Source organism: Homo sapiens, chromosome 8 (genome assembly GCF_000001405.40).
Source record: "Homo sapiens chromosome 8, GRCh38.p14 Primary Assembly".
Classification (NCBI taxonomy): Eukaryota; Metazoa; Chordata; class Mammalia; order Primates; family Hominidae; genus Homo; species Homo sapiens.
The window spans coordinates 7,154,045-7,170,382 of NC_000008.11; the positions used below are offsets into that span (position 1 = coordinate 7,154,045).

The 16,338-nt window shown below is 44.1% G+C and overlaps 1 long non-coding RNA gene across 1 annotated transcript in view, besides 3 other annotated features; it reads left to right on the plus strand.

Moving 5' to 3' along the window:
• LOC105377803 (uncharacterized) overlaps window positions 1-16,338 on the plus strand; it is a 47,930-nt gene that overhangs the window by 15,522 nt on the left and 16,070 nt on the right. Inside the window, exon 3 of the long non-coding RNA XR_941393.3 lies at window positions 698-746. This is a non-coding gene — a long non-coding RNA (uncharacterized LOC105377803). The remainder of the gene's footprint in view (window positions 1-697; window positions 747-16,338) is intronic.
• Window positions 2,867-3,548: an enhancer, noted in NCBI's record as "NANOG-H3K27ac hESC enhancer chr8:7014433-7015114 (GRCh37/hg19 assembly coordinates)". NCBI's record gives its function as "activates a minimal SCP1, AML or CMV promoter by ChIP-STARR-seq in naive H9 embryonic stem cells {active_cell/tissue: H9 hESC(naive)}" and the evidence as "EXISTENCE:reporter gene assay evidence [ECO:0000049][PMID:30033119]".
• Window positions 4,231-4,912: an enhancer, noted in NCBI's record as "OCT4-NANOG-H3K27ac hESC enhancer chr8:7015797-7016478 (GRCh37/hg19 assembly coordinates)". NCBI's record gives its function as "activates a minimal SCP1, AML or CMV promoter by ChIP-STARR-seq in naive H9 embryonic stem cells {active_cell/tissue: H9 hESC(naive)}" and the evidence as "EXISTENCE:reporter gene assay evidence [ECO:0000049][PMID:30033119]".
• Window positions 4,913-5,593: an enhancer, noted in NCBI's record as "OCT4-NANOG-H3K27ac hESC enhancer chr8:7016479-7017159 (GRCh37/hg19 assembly coordinates)". NCBI's record gives its function as "activates a minimal SCP1, AML or CMV promoter by ChIP-STARR-seq in primed H9 embryonic stem cells {active_cell/tissue: H9 hESC(primed)}" and the evidence as "EXISTENCE:reporter gene assay evidence [ECO:0000049][PMID:30033119]".

A 16,338-nucleotide genomic window follows, 5' to 3' on the forward strand; every position in this document is an offset into this window, starting at 1 on the left:
CCTGAGCTCCAGGCACGATGGATAAGTGAGCTTGGGAGGCTTCAAAAATTTGCTTTTTTAATTTAGTTGTTTTCAATGATAAATTACCTTTTCTACCTAGAAGGTGTCCTTTGACCGTTTCCCATGAATGATCAGTCTCGTTATAGGAATAGGGGTGATGCAGAAATCCAAAGTATTCCAATCGCACTGCATTTGCATGCGATGTTCTAGACTCACTACCTGATCTCCAAGCCAAATAACAGACTGTCTTAAATCATTAATTTGCTTTGCCAATTTTTGATCGATGTCTTGTTGAGAATTCCACATTTGGGTGGAATTGGCTTGCCAATCATTAACAAAATGAGCCGTTTGAATAGACTGGTGTAATTCCATTCCGGCAGTGGTGGCCATTGCAGTGACTGTAATTAGGCCCATGATAACAGCGATTAAAGTGAAAACAAATCTCTTAGATCTTTTTAGAATTCGTTGTACCAGATCTTTTTTGAATTCGTTGTACCACTTCATTAATTAAATGTATTGAGGGGGAGAATTCCCAAGGTCGAGGTAAAGTTATCGGAATCCAGATTCTTTCTCCAGCTTGAACCAACATTACACTTTTCCTGGAGTCAAAATGGGAGTTAATACAAGTGTATAGATGACAATTGACGCACTGGACAGTTTGATTATTCATCCAAATTTTGATATTTCCTACCAATAGCATGTAACGAGGCTCAACACAACTCTGTATGGGAACAGTCAGGTTGGAGGTAAGTGAAGCAGAATGTCTGGGTCTACGATGATACTGAGAGAATGGGACGGTAGTGGGAACAACAGTCAAAATAGTTTTTCCTTCCCATACTCGCAGTCCAGCCATGGCAATAGCCAATTTCCAAAGTTCTGGGTGTTCTGGGCTCAGAATAGGGAGTGTCATAGGAGGCCTGGAGGGGGCGGGTAATGCCTTTATCTTCCCATTTTAAGGGAAAGAATGAGCTGATCCTTCTATGCAAAGTAGAATGATGATTCTCTTTCTCCGGATAAGAAATAAAATAAGTAGCCTCCAGGCATTCCCTTCCACAGAGGAGCAATTGTTTTTTAAATAGCCCTATGGTGCCCAGTCTATTACTAAACCATATGAGTCATTTTTTAATATTACTGCATGTGAGTTAACACAATCTTCCCAAATTAAAGTTTTAGATGGTCCCTCAAAATGTTTAGGGCATGGTTTTCCTGCAGGTTTATATTGAAAGTATGGGGTACCTCCCATTACTCCTCCTTTCATTTGTTGTAAAGGAGAAAGGGAGAGGCCAGAGGCCAAATGTCCCATTTTATCTGTAGCTGATGTTTCTGAAAGATAAGCAGCCCAGAACTAAGTTTCTAGATGGATGCAACCAGGTGCATGTCCGAGGCACAGAGGTGGGTATTTATAACCCATGGTAACATTAAATGCAGTGCCTTCTTCTCCTGGTTGTGCGGGGCAAGGGTCGTCTATGGCTCCAGGCATCCACACACTATCGTTAGTGTAGATTTCTGCGGGAGCATCTATCCGGGTGAGAGAGCGAATAAGTGGAGGAAAAGACACCTAAGCCCAAGAAGAATAATTATGTGTAGCAGGTAAATCAGTGTGAGAGGAAACTGGTGAGACAGAAAGTATAAGGAGGAGAATCATTAAATAAAACCTAGTGTAAGCGAGATGGAGTGCTGAAGGAGAAAGAGAAGAAGAGTGGGATGTTATTTTCAGGCTAATAGAAATGGTGAGATATTTAGGTTTGTAAGGAGAAAAAGAAAGGTAATCAGGATAAGTGTGATTAGTTAGATGGGTCTCCACTGTCATCAGGGAGGATTGATTTACACCCATTGTGATTTGGTGTGCCTGTTTCTGAGGAGTCGGCACAGATCTCACCACATCTGAAGGCAGTCTCTGACACAGACGTCTCTTCACTGTGGTTTTGATTGTCAGTATTCACAAGAAGCTTGAGTCTTCTGGTGGGCACCCAGACAGGGGATTGATGATCTCCTGGTGAAACACAAGCATATCCTCTTCCCCACGTTAAGTAGAATAAGAGACAATATTTAAAGGTTTGGGGAAATCCTGTAAGGCAGTAATCACAGCAATTAACTCCGCATTTTGAAGAGAAGTATAAGAGGTAGAAAGAAGTTTGTCTGCAGGACCTGTATAGCCAGCATTGCCATTACCAGAGCCATCAGTGAATACTGTAACGGCCTCAGGAATGGGTTGATTTTTGGTTAATCTAGGAACCACCCAAGACGTTATTTTTATAAAATCAAACAATTTGTTTTTTTGGATAATGATCGTCAATAACACCAATAAAATCAGCCAAGTGAATTTGCCACAGTACAGAATGTTGAAAGGCAGCTTGAACTTCGAGCTGATTTAAAGGAACTACAATTACACTTGGATCAAATCCAGAAAATTGAAGTATTCTGCACCGAACCTGTCCAATTAATATGGCTATTTGGTCTAGATAAAGTTTTTGACACAGAATGAGGAAGAAAACACCATTCCACTAAATCATTATGTTGAACTATTAGTCCAGTAGGAGAGTGTAATGAAGCAAAAACCAGAAGCTGAAAAGGCTGAAATGTCTGTACTCTAGATAACTGGGCGGTCTGGATTTCTTCCTCTACAAATTCCAGATCCAGTAAAGCCTCAGGGGTCAAAGTCCTAGGGCTGCGGAGATCAGAATCTCCCCGCAGCATAGAGAACAAGTTAGACAGGGTATAGGTCGGAATGCCTAAAGTAGGTCTTAAATAATTAATGTTACCCAAAAGTTTTTGGAAGTCATTTAAAGTTTTTAAAGAATCTCTCCTAATTTGAACTTTTTGAGGTTGAATACATTGTTTATCGACCACCATTCCTAAATATTGAACAGGAGTGGTCTGTTGAATTTTATCCTGAGCAATGCGTAATCCAGCCTCTGTAACACAGCGGTTCAAAATTTGGTAACAGTCAATTAATTTTTTATCAGTGGGGGCAGAAATTAAAATATCATCAATATAATGAAGAATATAGGCCTCGGGAAATCGGGCTCAAACTGGTGAAAGCACTTGTCCAACATAAAGCTGGCAGATTGTAGGGCTATTTAGCATTCCCTGAGGAAGTACTTTCCATTGATAACGAGCTACAGGCTCCTGATTATTGATAGATGGTACAGTAAAAGCAAATTTTTCACAATCCGATTTATGTAAAGCGATATGAAAAAAAAAACCTCTTTAAGATCAATAAGTATGAGAGGCCAATCTTTAGGTATTAAAGCAGGGGCAGGCATGCCGGGTTGGACGGCCCCTATAGGTTTAATTACAGCATTAATGGCCCTTAAATCGGTTACCATCCGCCATTTGCCTGATTTCTTTTTTACTAGAAACACAGGAGAATTACAAGGGGAAAGAGAAGGTTCCACATTTCCAAGTTGTAACTGCTCAGAAACCAATTGATTTAAAGCCTCCAGTTTTTCTTTAGAAAGCGGCCACTGCTGAATCCCAGGGCCACTTGTCTTATCTCCTTTGTTTAAAAGGATATTAGGTAGTAAAAGCAATTGAACTTGTTTAACAGTAGTAAAAGAAACAAGAGCTTGGGCTCGGGAGTGTAGTTTATCCCAAGCTCTCATACACACTTTTGTTACTTGTTTTGTGGTAAGAGTATCAAAGTTTAATTGGGCATAAGCATCAGAGAAACTATCGGAGCCTGTGAGCTGAGCCTGAGTAATTAGAATGCCATTACTCCGATTTAGCTGAGCCTGTAAACAGGCCTCCTCTGACCACCAGGCTGAGATGGACTTAGAACAGCTTTTTGCCAAAAGATCACAGTCTAAAGGAAGCAAAACAACCTCAGTATAAAAAGTTTGCAATACCATTTGAACATAAGGAAAAGTAGGACCATACTGAGTACAAGCATCCTTAAATTGTTTTTAAAAAGGTAAGATTGAGCGGCGCCTATCGATGCAGACTGGCTGAGGAACTGAAACGACAGGAGGGTGAGGGGCTGTAGTGGATGGGGGAGGGCCTGGAGAATGACAGGTAAATTGTAGTTTGGTCCCAGAGCCATTATTTGATGCTGGAGGTTTGAAGAGAGAAGAATTAGCATATTTATGTTACCGGGCTTTGTGAGTCACAGCCGCAGGAGTGTGAAGTACCGGCTTTTCGTGGGAAGAAGTAAGAAAAGTAGGGGGTAACTTTAAGCCAAAGTTACCAGAGTTAGAAATCGAATTTTCAGAATCGTTAGGGAGGGGAGGAGTAGCTGAAGGGAGAGTCTGAACGAAGGCCATGTGGGAGAGGAAGGTTGAGAAAAAGGCAGAGAAACTGAGGAAAAGGCAGAAAACTGCGGCAACTGCAGGGGGTCACGAGATTGGCAAGCCACGAAGATGTCACGCACCAAGCACCCCAAACAGTGATGGGCACATAATACCCGGCCGAGATCAGTTTTCGGAATGCCTTACGGACACAATCACACAATTTTATATACACCGTTCCTTTTTCAGGAAACCAAGAACAGTATTTTTCTACTGCCCTGAATAGAGTGATCATATTTTTCATGGTTACCGGTTTTAACAGGAGTTTGTTAGATTACACATGACCCACAGTTAACCCAGACCTTACACAGATTACTCACCACTCGTCGGGGAGTTGAACACGCTTATCTGTGGACCAAGCCGATTGACGTTTCACCGCACCTACCAAAGGGAATCCGGTTCCCTCATGCACTTAGGAAAAAAGAAAGACCACGTGGGCGCCAGATATCGGGGGACCTGCCCCGATAATCACGTAGGTTCTTTTCTATTTTCCTAAGCGTCGACTGGCTTGAGAAATAAAAGGACAGAGTACAAAAGAGAGAAATTGTAAAGCTGGGCATCTGGGGGAGACATCACACATTGGTAGGATCCGTGATGCCCCACAAGCCACAAAAACCAGCAAGTTTTTATTAGGGAGTTTCAAAAGGGGAGGGAGTATATGAATAGGTGTGGGTGACAGACATCAAGTACTTCACAGGGTAATAGAATATCACAAGGCAAGTGGAGACAGGGCCAGACCACAGGACGGAAGTGAAATTAAAATTGCTAATGAAGTTTTGGCACCATTGTCATTGATAACATCTTATGAGGAGACAGGGTTTTGAGATCAACCCGTCTGACCAAAGTTTATTAGGCGGGAATTTTCTCTTCCTAATAAGCCTGGGAGTGCTATGGGAGACTGGAGTTTATTTCACCTCTGCAATCTCGACCATAAGAGACAGGTATGCCCCGGGGGGCCAGTTCAGAGACCTACCCCTAGGTGCGCATTCTCTTTCTCAGGGACGTTCCATGCTGAGAAAAGGAATTCAACGATATTTCTCCCATTTGCTTTTGAAAGAAGAGAAATATGGTTCTGTTCTGCCCGGCTCACCGGGCGGTCAGAGTTTAAGGTTATCTCTCTTATTCCCTGAACAATTGCTGTTATCCGGTTCTTTTTTCAGGGTGCCCACATTTCATATTGCTCAAACACACATGCTGTACAATTTGTGTACTTAACGCAATTATTACAGGTCCTGAGACGATATACATCCTTCTCGACTGACAGGATTAAGAGATTAAAGTAATGACAGGCATAGGAAATCACAAGGGTATTGATTGGGGAAGTGATAAGTGTCCATGAAATCTTTACAATTTATGTTTAGAGATTGCAGTAAAGGCAGGCATAAGAAATTACAAAAGTATTAATTTGGGGAACTAATAAATGTCCATAAAATCTTCATAATCCACGTTCTTCTGTCATGGCTTCAGCTGGTCCCTCCGTTTGGGGTCCCTGACTTCCCGCAACACAGCACAGTGCCTGGCACAAAAGAGTTGCTCAATAAATACATCAGGATGAATAGATAAATACATGGATAGGCACTTTGAACTACAGATGAGCTTAAATACTTTGTGTTTTTCTTAGTCAAACATGTGCAATTAAGCATGTGATAAATGTTATGATGAGCATACCTGTGTCTTGCCTGATGTTCTTTGCAATCACTAAATGAAGTCAATTGGGCCTGTTTTGACAGTTCTATTTTCAACCTAATGATCTGTTTATTTTAACTTCTGGCTGTTGGCTTTGTTTGGGTTTGTTAGCCTGACAAAGTGGTAGATATTGGTATTTGCTCTTTTGTTTAAATGTCACGAACTTTAAAAATGCCTTTGCTTTTGGTAAGAAACCCTAGTTAGGACACCCTAGCAGTCAGGATGATTTGCGTTCTGGTGCTGTAACAACAATCCCCAAATCTCAGTGGCCTCATGCAGTGAGGTATTTGTTTGTTTGTTTTTGAGACAGGGTCTCACTCTGTCACCCAGACTAGAGTGCAGTGGTGCAATCTCAGCTCACTGCAACCTCTGCCTCCCAGACTCAAGTGATTCTCCTGCCTCCTGAGTAGCTGGGATTACAGGCCCATGCCATCACTGTCTGGCTAATTTTTGTACTTAGTAGAGACAGTATTTCACCATGTTAGCCAGGTTGGTCTTGAACTCCTGACCTCAAATGATCCACCCGCCTTGGCCTCCCAAAGTGCTGGGATGACAGGCATGAGCCACCATGTCTGGCCACAGTGAGGCTTATTCTTGGTCACGTTGCATGTCTGGGCTGTGTTAGGGCATTGTGGGGTGGTCTGTTCATTGTGTTCACTCAGGGATCCAGGCTGACAAAAGCCCCATCTCTGCATGTGTCCTTGATCACCACTTCAGGGGAAAGAGAATGTGGTGGATCATAGAGCCTCTTAACACTTCCACCTGGAGGTGACTCAAGTTGCTCCTGCTCATGGTTCATTGGACAAAACAGATCAAAGAGTCATGGGCAACTTCTCTGTGCCTGGAAGAGGAACCAAAATATGAATATCTACATTGACTTTCCCTAGCTATTACACAGAAGGTCTCATTTAAATGCAGTTACTTATTTGTGTTTTGAAGCTAACTGTAGTCCATCAAACTTCACAGAAGATATGTGCACTTCCAAGCTATTACTAAGCACAATTTTTTTTTTTTTTTTTTTTTTTTTTTTTTTTTTTTTTTTGAGACAGAGTCTCACTCTCTTGCCCAGGCTGGAGTGCAGTGGCATGATCATGGATAACAGCAACTTCTGCCTCCTGGGTTCAAGTGATTTTCATGCCTCAGCCTCCCAAAGTGCTGGGACTACAGACAACCACCACCGCACCTGGCTAAGTTTTGTATTTTTAGTAGGGATGGGGTTTCACCATGTTGGCCTGGCTGGTCTGGAACTCCTGACCTCAGGTGATCCACCTGTCTCAGCCTCCCAAAGTGCTGAGATGACAGGCGTGAGCCGCTGTGCCCGGCCTTGAGTATGATTTTTGATTGGGAAGGTCAGAGTTAGGGTTTTAGTCTGAGGACAGTATGATGTGAAGGTGAAAAGCAGAGCTTGGCTGTGAGTTTGCTGGGATTCCTGTGCTGCTTCTACAGCTCTTTGGCTGTGTGACCATCACCTTTGGCAAGTTCCTTTACCTTTCTATGTGTTGGCTTCCTCATCAATAAAATGGAAAAACTAATCATAATCATAGTATCTGTTGGTGTTGGGATAGCCCAGTGGTTGACACATAAGGACTCAAAAATAGTTTTTTTTAGTTTTTTTTTTTTTTTTTTTTTTTGAGACAGAGTCTTGCTCTGTTGCCAGGCTGTAGTGCAGTGGTGCAATCTCAGCTCACTGCAAACTCTGCCTCCTGGGTTCAAGCGATTCTCCTGCCTCAGCCTCCCTAGTAGCTGGGATTACAGACACCTGCCACCACTCCCAGCTAATTTTTGTATTTTTAGTAGAGATGGGGTTTCACCATGTTGTCCAGGATGCTCTTGACCTCATGATCTGCCCACCTCAGCCTCCCAAAGTGTTGGAATTACAGGCATGAACCACCGTGCCCGGCTCAAAAATACTATTACTAATTTTGGGGGGTAGTTACTATATTTTGTGAAAATCAGAGTTCAGTACCTTGTAACACTGGGTTGGGATCTATCCCTGAAGGAACAGGCTTCTTAAGAGGAAGGCATGGAGTGAGGGGCAAAATTTTAGTTGATGTTGTAATGACTTTAGGTATATGGATCTGGGTCTGAGTTCTAGCTGGGGCCACCAGGTAGCAAGGTGAACTTTGCTAAATTCTATCACTTTCCTGAGCCTCAGACTCACTTGTTACAAATGAGGTTAAAGCATCCCTCTTTCAGGGCTAAGATAAAGATGATTAAGTAAGAGGGAATGAAAGTAACTTCCATCAATGGTCAAAAGTATTCGTTTAAAAAAAAAAATATATATATATATATATATTTTTGAGATGGAGTCTCTCTCTGTTGCCCAGGTTGGAGTGCAGTGACATGGTCCCGGGTCACTGCAACCTCCGCCTCCTGGGTTCAAGTGATTCTCCTGCCTCAGCCTCCTAAGTAGCTGGGATTACAGGTGTGTGCCACCACGCCTGGCTAATTTTTGTATTTTTAGTAGAGACGGGGTTTCACCATGTTGGCCAGGATGGTCTCCATCTCTTGACCTTGTGATCCACCCACCTTAGCCTCCCAAAGTGTTGGGATTACAGGCATGAGCCACCACGTCCGGCCCATTTAACTTCTATATTACTTTCCTGTTGGTGGATTTACCAGTGCAAACTGAGCAGCTTAAAACACCACCAAGGGTCTGGGCAGGGTTTAACTGGGTCCTCTATTCAGGGTCACAATACTGCAACCAGAGTGTCAGTTGGAGCTGGGGTCTCATGGGATGCTCAGTATCCTCTTCCAAGCTTATTCAGTTTGTGGACTGAATTCAATATCTTGCAATTGTTGAATGAAGGCCCTCAACTCCTAGAGCTGCCACCTCCAAAGACAGCTCACAGCATGGCCATTTGTGTCTCCTTGGAGGCTAAGGGTTGAACCTCTGAAACTTCACCTTTAAAAGATTCACCTGATTAGGTCTGGCCCACCTAAGATCATCCTGCTTTGGATGAACTCAAAGTCAGCTGAACAAATGTGCTTAACAAAGCAACTGTGACCATAATCACATTTGCAAAATTCCTTCCTCTTGGCCAAATCACAAGCTCTGCACACACTCAAGAAGAGGAGATGATACAGGGAGCAGATATAAGGGAGTGGGTCTCTTGGGGGCTGTCTTAGTATTCTGTCCATTACAACTTCCTTTCTTGAGGAACAGCAGGCCTGGGGAGAGATGATCACAGATGAGGGCAGCCCACAGGTGGTGAGAGCCTGGTGCTGGTGTAGGATGCAGGAGGCTGTGAAGCAAGTAGGAAAAGCCTTCTCTGGGCTGGGTGCAGTGGCTTACACCTGTAATCCCAGCACTTTGGGAGGCTGAGGTGGGCAGATCACGAGGTCAAGGGATCGAGACTATTCTGGCCAACCAACATGGTGAAACCCCGTCTTTACTAAAAATAAAAAAATTAGCTGGGCATGGTGGCGCATGTCTCTAACAACCCAGCTCCCCAAGTGAGCAACTCTTGTCCCTTTTAAGGGCTCACAAATCTAAGGGAGTCCACATGAGAGGGTCATGATCGATTGACCAAGCAGGGAGTACGTGACTGGGGGCTGCATTCAGCAAACCCCATCTCTACTAAAAATACCAAAATTCAGCAAAGTTTCAGGATACAAAATCAGTGTGCAAAAATCACAGGCATTCTTATACACCAATAACAGAGAGCCAAATCATGAGTGAGCTCCCATTCACAATTGCTTCAAAGAGAATAAAATACTTAGGAATCTAACTTACCAGGGACATGAAGGACCTCTTCAAGGAGAACTACAAACCACTGCTCAATGAAATAAAAGAGGATACAAACAAATGGAAGAACATTCCATGCTCATGGGTAGGAAGAATCAGTATCGTGAAAATGGCCATACTGCCCAAGGTAATTTATAGATTCAATGCCATCCCCCTCAAGTTACCAATGACTTTCTTCACAGAATTGGAAAAAACTACTTTAAAGTTCATATGGAGTCAAAAAAGATCCTGCATTGTCAAGTCAATCCTAAGCCAAAAGAACAAAGCTGGAGGCATCACGCTACCTAACTTTAAACTATACTACAAGACAACAGTAACCAAAACAACATGGTACTGGTACAAAAACAGACATATAGACAAATGGAACAGAACAGAGCCCTCATAAATAATGCTACACATCTACAGCTATCTGATCTTTAACAAACCTGACAAAAACGAGAAATGGGGAAAGGATTCCCTATTTAATAAATGGTGCTGGGAAAACTGGCTACCCATATGAAGAAAACTGCAACTGGATCCCTTCCTTACCCCTTATACTAACATTAATTCAAGATGGATTAAAGACTTAAATGTTAGACCTAAAACTATAAAAACCCTAGAAGAAAACCTCAGCAATACCATTCAGGACATAGGCATGGGCAAGGACTTCATGTCTAAATCACCAAAAGCAATGGCAACAAAAGCCAAAATTGACAAATGGGATCTAATTAAACTAAAGAGCTTCTGCACAGCAAAAGAAACTACCATTAGAGTGAACAGGCAACCTACAGAATGGGAGAAAATTTTTGCAATCTACTCATCTGACAAAGGGACCTATGACTTTCTTATAACCAAGAGAATATGGCAGAGGTGACAGGATGTAGTGATTATGTTAGATAGATAGGATGTTAAGTTGTCTTGCTAGGAGGCTGTCTGTCTTGCTGGCTTTGAAGATGTGAGCTGCCATGTCATGAGCGGCCAGATGGAGAGGCCCATGTGGCAAGAAGCTGATGGCAGCAAGAAACTGGGGCCCTGAGTCCAGCAGCCTGCAAGGAACTGAATGCTGCCAACAACCAGATGAGCCTGGAAGCAGATCAATCACCAGTCAAGCCTCCAGATGAGAACTGAGCCCTGGCTGACACTATGGCCACAGGCTTGCATTGAACCCAGCTGAGTCACACCTGGATTTCTAATCCACAGAAACCGTGCAGTGGTAACTGTTTGCTGTCTCAAGCCACAAAGTTTGCAGTAATATTTTTGCACAGCAATAGATAACTAATATAAAAACTGTCCTACATCATGTACATTACTGAGCGAAAAGTAGAACCTGGATTTGAGCTCTGATTTCAGAGTTGTCTCCCCAGGGAGACCTGTCCTGGGAGACAGTTATGCCAGGCTGTGATGCTGTGATGATTGTTCTCTTCCTACTCAGAAGCTTTCAATAGGCATGTCAAGCATGTGAACCCAGCTACATATACCAAATATATTTCTGACAAATGCCAGGACATCGTGAGCTTTCTTATTTTACTGAGAGCTCCCTAAAGGAGGGACCATCTCTGTCTTTTTTTTTTTTTTAATAGTCTCACTCTCACCCAGACTGGAGTGCAATGGTGCGATCTCGGCTCACTGCAGTCTCTGCCTCCTGGGCTCAAGGGATTCTCCAGCCTCAGCCTCCTGAGTAGCTGGGATCAAAGGTGTACATCACCACACCCAGCTAATTTCATATTTTTGGTAGCGATGGGGTTTTGTCATGTTGGTCAGGCAGATCTCGAACTCCTGGCCTCAAGTGATTCGCCCACCTTGGCTTCCCAAAGTGCTGGGATTACAGGCATGAGCCACTGCACCTGGCCTGTCTTTTTTATGTTATGTCCACGTGAAACAGCCCAGTGGTCAGCACACAAAGGGGTCCAAATGTGAAAGGGCAAACACAGGGGAAACAGGGGTGTTCAGAAATAGTTCCCAGGTTACTGTCTGTTTCAATATGTACCGTTCTCTGCCCCACCCACAAGATTCTGACTTGGCGGGTCAGAGTTGGAGATGGGGGAGCTACCTGGTTACGAGGGATCCCAGTGATTTTGAGGCAGCTGGTTGTTAGACTGCACTGTAAAAGTTACCCCCCAAAGATGTGAAGGGATAATTCATGTATTTTTAATAGAGATAGGGTTTCACCATGTTGGCCAGGCAGGTCTCCAACTCCCAGCCTCAGGTGATCCGCCCGCCTTGGCCTCCCAAAGTGCTGGGACTACAGGCATGAGCCATTGCTCCAAGCACTATTTTTTTAATGAGGCCAAATACACATAACATACAAGTCCCTGTATGAAATCATACACTTCAGTATCATTAAATACCTTCACAATGTTAAGCAATCATCATCTCTGTCTAGTTCCAAAACATTTTCTTTAACACCCCCCGCCCCCCAAAAAATAACCCTGTATCCATCAAGCACTCTCCATCCCCTCCCCTTTCCCCCAGTTCCTGGCAACCACTTACCTGCTTTCTGCCTCTACAGATTTGCGTATTCTGGACCTTTCACATAAATGGAATCATGTAATATATATAATAACCAAAAGGTAGCAACAACAAAGATGGTCATTCGGTTTATGAATGAATAAACAAAATGTGCTGTATCCGTACAATGGAAGTATTGGTGCCTACTACATGTGGATGGAACTTGGAAACATCACGCTGAGTGAGAGAGAGCCTTGGTATTGTCTCATCTCCCCAGGAGATTCCAAGGTGCAGCCAAGGTTGAGACCCACTGACAAGCAATGGATAAGGTTGGGTGCAGATGAAATAAGGCAGCCAGGGGCAGGAGGGACGTCTCATTGAAGACGACTATTTGTGGATGCCTAGCAGGGGTGGGGATGAGGGATGATAACAGCAACCCCAATCCCAACACAGCGTGACCGATTTTATCTTCAGCCAGCTGATACGCCTCATGGGGTGTGGACACAGGACATCTCTGCCTCCCAGGTTCAAGCGATAACTCCTGCCTCAGCCTCCTAAGTAGCTGGGGTTACAGGCATGTACCACCACGCCTGGCTAATTTTTGTATTTTTAGTAGAAACGAGGCCTTTTCATGTGGCCCAGGTTGGTCTCGACCTTCTGGCCTCAAATGATCCACCCACCTCAGCCTCCCAAAGTACTGGGATTACAGGCATGAGCCACAGTGGCAGCCTCCAAATTCTATTTGAAGTTCGACTTTCCACCTCCAGAAAATCCAAACCTTTGCCCAAGTCACAGTGGGACACCTCGGAGTTAATGTGAGAGAAATGTGCTTTTAAAAACAACTCCAGGACTAGCACAGTGGCTCACGCCTATAATCCTAGCACTTTGGGAGGCCGAGGCGGACGGATCACGAGGTCAGGAGATCAAGACCGTCCTGGCTAACACGGTGAAACCCCGTCTCTACTAAAAATACAAAAAATTAGCCGGGCGTGGTGGTACATGCCTCGAAGCCCAGCTACTCGGGAGGCTGAGGCAGGAGAATCGCTTGAACCAGGGAGTCAGAGGTTGCAGTGAGCCGAGAGTGCGCCACTGCACTCTAGCCTGGTGACAGAGAGAGATTCCGTCTCAGAATAAATAAAACCCTCCGATATGAACACCAAACTAGAATCACTCCATTGACTTCCCTCCGCCAATCAGGGGGAGTGATGGTGATGGTGCATGAGTGTCTATTTGCATTCAGTCTCACTCAAAGGAAAAACAAATCACAGCCCAGACTGGAGCTGTGGATGAATAACATGGCTGAGTGTTGGTACAGGCTTTCCACAGCAATACTAAAACTGAAAAAATCAGCAATGAAACTCCCAGCCACATTTCTGCCAAATGATTTGGGGGAAAACAACAGAGGCACTCCTCAACTTTTTCTTCGCTGCACAAAGTGGGTTTGGCTGGAAATGCCAAGTGTGCTTGTTGCTGGGATCTTTCAAATGAAAGCAAGCTGGGAGTCAAACTCCTGCAGCCACAGGCCAGAAATGGGTTTAGAGCAAACTATTATAGTAACACTGGTGCACATCGAAACAGATTAAACTCCCTCACAGCAATCCAGATTAATTGAATATGCTTTCTTATTGGCATACTGCGTTTCTCATTAAAGCAAATGAACATCCATCCCTCTATAATAAATTAGGGCCAAAAAAAATTCATATGTTTAGGGCATAGGGAAGGAGGAGTTGTTGGCTGTTAAAAAAAAAAATACTGCAAGTGGCCTTTGAAAGTCTAGACATCTTCATCATAAACACAAATATTCCTCTTCACAAAGGGACCTCAAGTAACCTTAGGCTGGAGGGCCCACTTGAGTATGTTTTTCTTCTCATTCTTTCTTACCTTCCCTCCAGCCCACCCAACCCACATTCAGTGACCAAGTCACGTGGGTTTTACCTCCTAAATCTTTTCAGATCCGTTCACTGCTCAGCCACTCTCCTGACACCACCATAAACCAAGCCACCATCACTTCCAGCTGTTTGACTGCAAATGCCTCCTCACTGGCCTCTGTCTTCCCCTGGCCCTGTGACAATCTGCACTCCTCACAGGGACCAAAGCAATCACTTCAGAAGGTGCATCCAAACAGATCACTCACTTTCAATGGCTCCCACTGCTCTATGGGTTAACAATGATAAAAGCTCAGCCGGGCACGGGGGCTCACGCCTGTAATCCCAGCACTTTGGGAGGCCGAGGCGGGTGGATCACGACGTTAGGAGATTCAGACCATTCTCGCTAACACGGTGAAACCCCGTCTCTACTAAAAATATTAAAAAAATTAGCCAGGCGTGGTGGCGGGCGCCTGTAGTCCCAGCTACTCGGGAGGCTGAGGCAGGAGAATGGCGTGAACCCGGGAGGCGGAGGTTGCAGTGAGCCGAGATAGCGCCACTGCACTCCAGCCTGGGCGACAGAGTGAGACTCCATCTCAAAACAAACAAACAAAAAACAATGATCAAAGCTCACCTTTACTTAGCACACTCTATCGCAGTCCATCCCTACATCACCCTTGATTTCACGAGTGGGGAAGCTGGGACAAAGAGTAGTTACGTGGGATGCCCAAGGTGGGACCACTCGTATGAAGTTTCCACACACTAATGTGAGACCCTCCATGACCTAGCCCCTCTCTTTCTCCAGCCTCATTTCCTGATTCTTTCGCTTGCCCTGCAGGCTTCAGCCACACAAACTTCTTGAAAGTCCCTTAAATCTGGCTGAGCGCAGTGGCTCACGTCTGTAATCCCAGTACTTTGGGAAGCTGAGGCGGGTGGATCACCTGGCATCAGGAGTTCGAGACCAGCCTGGTCAACATGGTGAAACCCCATCTCTACTAAACATCCAAAAATTAGCCAGGTGTGGTAGAGGGCGCCTGTAATCCCAGCTACTAGGGAGACTGAGGCAGGAAAATCGCTTGAACTCAGGAGGCAGAAGTTGCAGTGAGCCAAGATCACACCACTCCACTCCAGCCTGGGCGTCAAGACTGAAAGTCCGTCTCAAAAAAAAGTCCCTTAAATCTGCTCTATGCCTATCAACCTCAGGGACTTCACTATGCTGTTCCTCACCCTGAAATGCTGTTCCTCATTTCTCTACATAGCGAACTCATCCCACCCCCTAGGTCTCTCCTTAAGTGTCATCTCTTCAAGGAAGATTTTACTTTTTTAATATAACTATTAAAATATAATTCAGGTACCGTATGATTTGCCCATTTAAAGTGAACAAATCAATGGTTTCAGTGCATTCACAGAGGTCGGCAACCACCATCATGATCAATTTTAAAACATTCTCATCACCCCAAAAGGAAACCCTGTATCCATGAGCAGGTTCCTGCCATTTCCTCCTCCCACTAAGCCCTGACAATCTACTTTTTTTGAGATAGAGTCTCTGTCACCGGCTGGAGTGCAGTGGCACAATCTCGGCTCACTGCAACCTCCGCCTCCCGGGTTCAAGCAATTCTCCTGCCTCCCGAGTAGCTGGGATTACAGGGATATGCCACCATGCCCATCTAATTTTGTATTTTTAGTAGAGACAGGGTTTCTGTCTTCATAGCTTTGCGTGTTCTGGACATTTCATATAAATGAAATCTTATAATATGTGACCTTTTGTGACTGGTTTCTTCCACTTAGCTTAATATTCTCATAGTTCATCCGTGTTGTAGCACGTGTTAGTACTTCATTCCTTTTGATGACTGAATAATATTCCATTGCTTGGTCAAACCATGTTCTATTTCTTTACTCATCAGTAGACAAGCATTTGTGTTGTTTTCACTTTGGCGCTATTATGAATAATGCTGCTGTGAGCATTTGTGTACAAGTTTCTGCAGGGACATATATTTTCATTTCTTCCATAAACTGGAGTGGAAGTGCTGGGTCATAGAACTCTGTGTTCAAGCTTTTGAAGAAGTGCCAGACTGTGTAATAAAGAAAGCCTTTCCTCACCCTGTAAGACCGAGCTCCCTCTCTCCATTTATACGTTCTCTTTATGCCCTTTGCTTCTCTTTCAGAGCAATTCACGATGAGCTGGGTCACCCTCAACTTAAGGCTCATAACTCCCTTAGACCCTCAGGGTCCACACTAAATATGATGAAATATGATGCAAGCCACATATTTACTTTTGCATTTTGTAGTAACCACATTTTAAAAAGGAAAACAAAAGAAGTGAAGG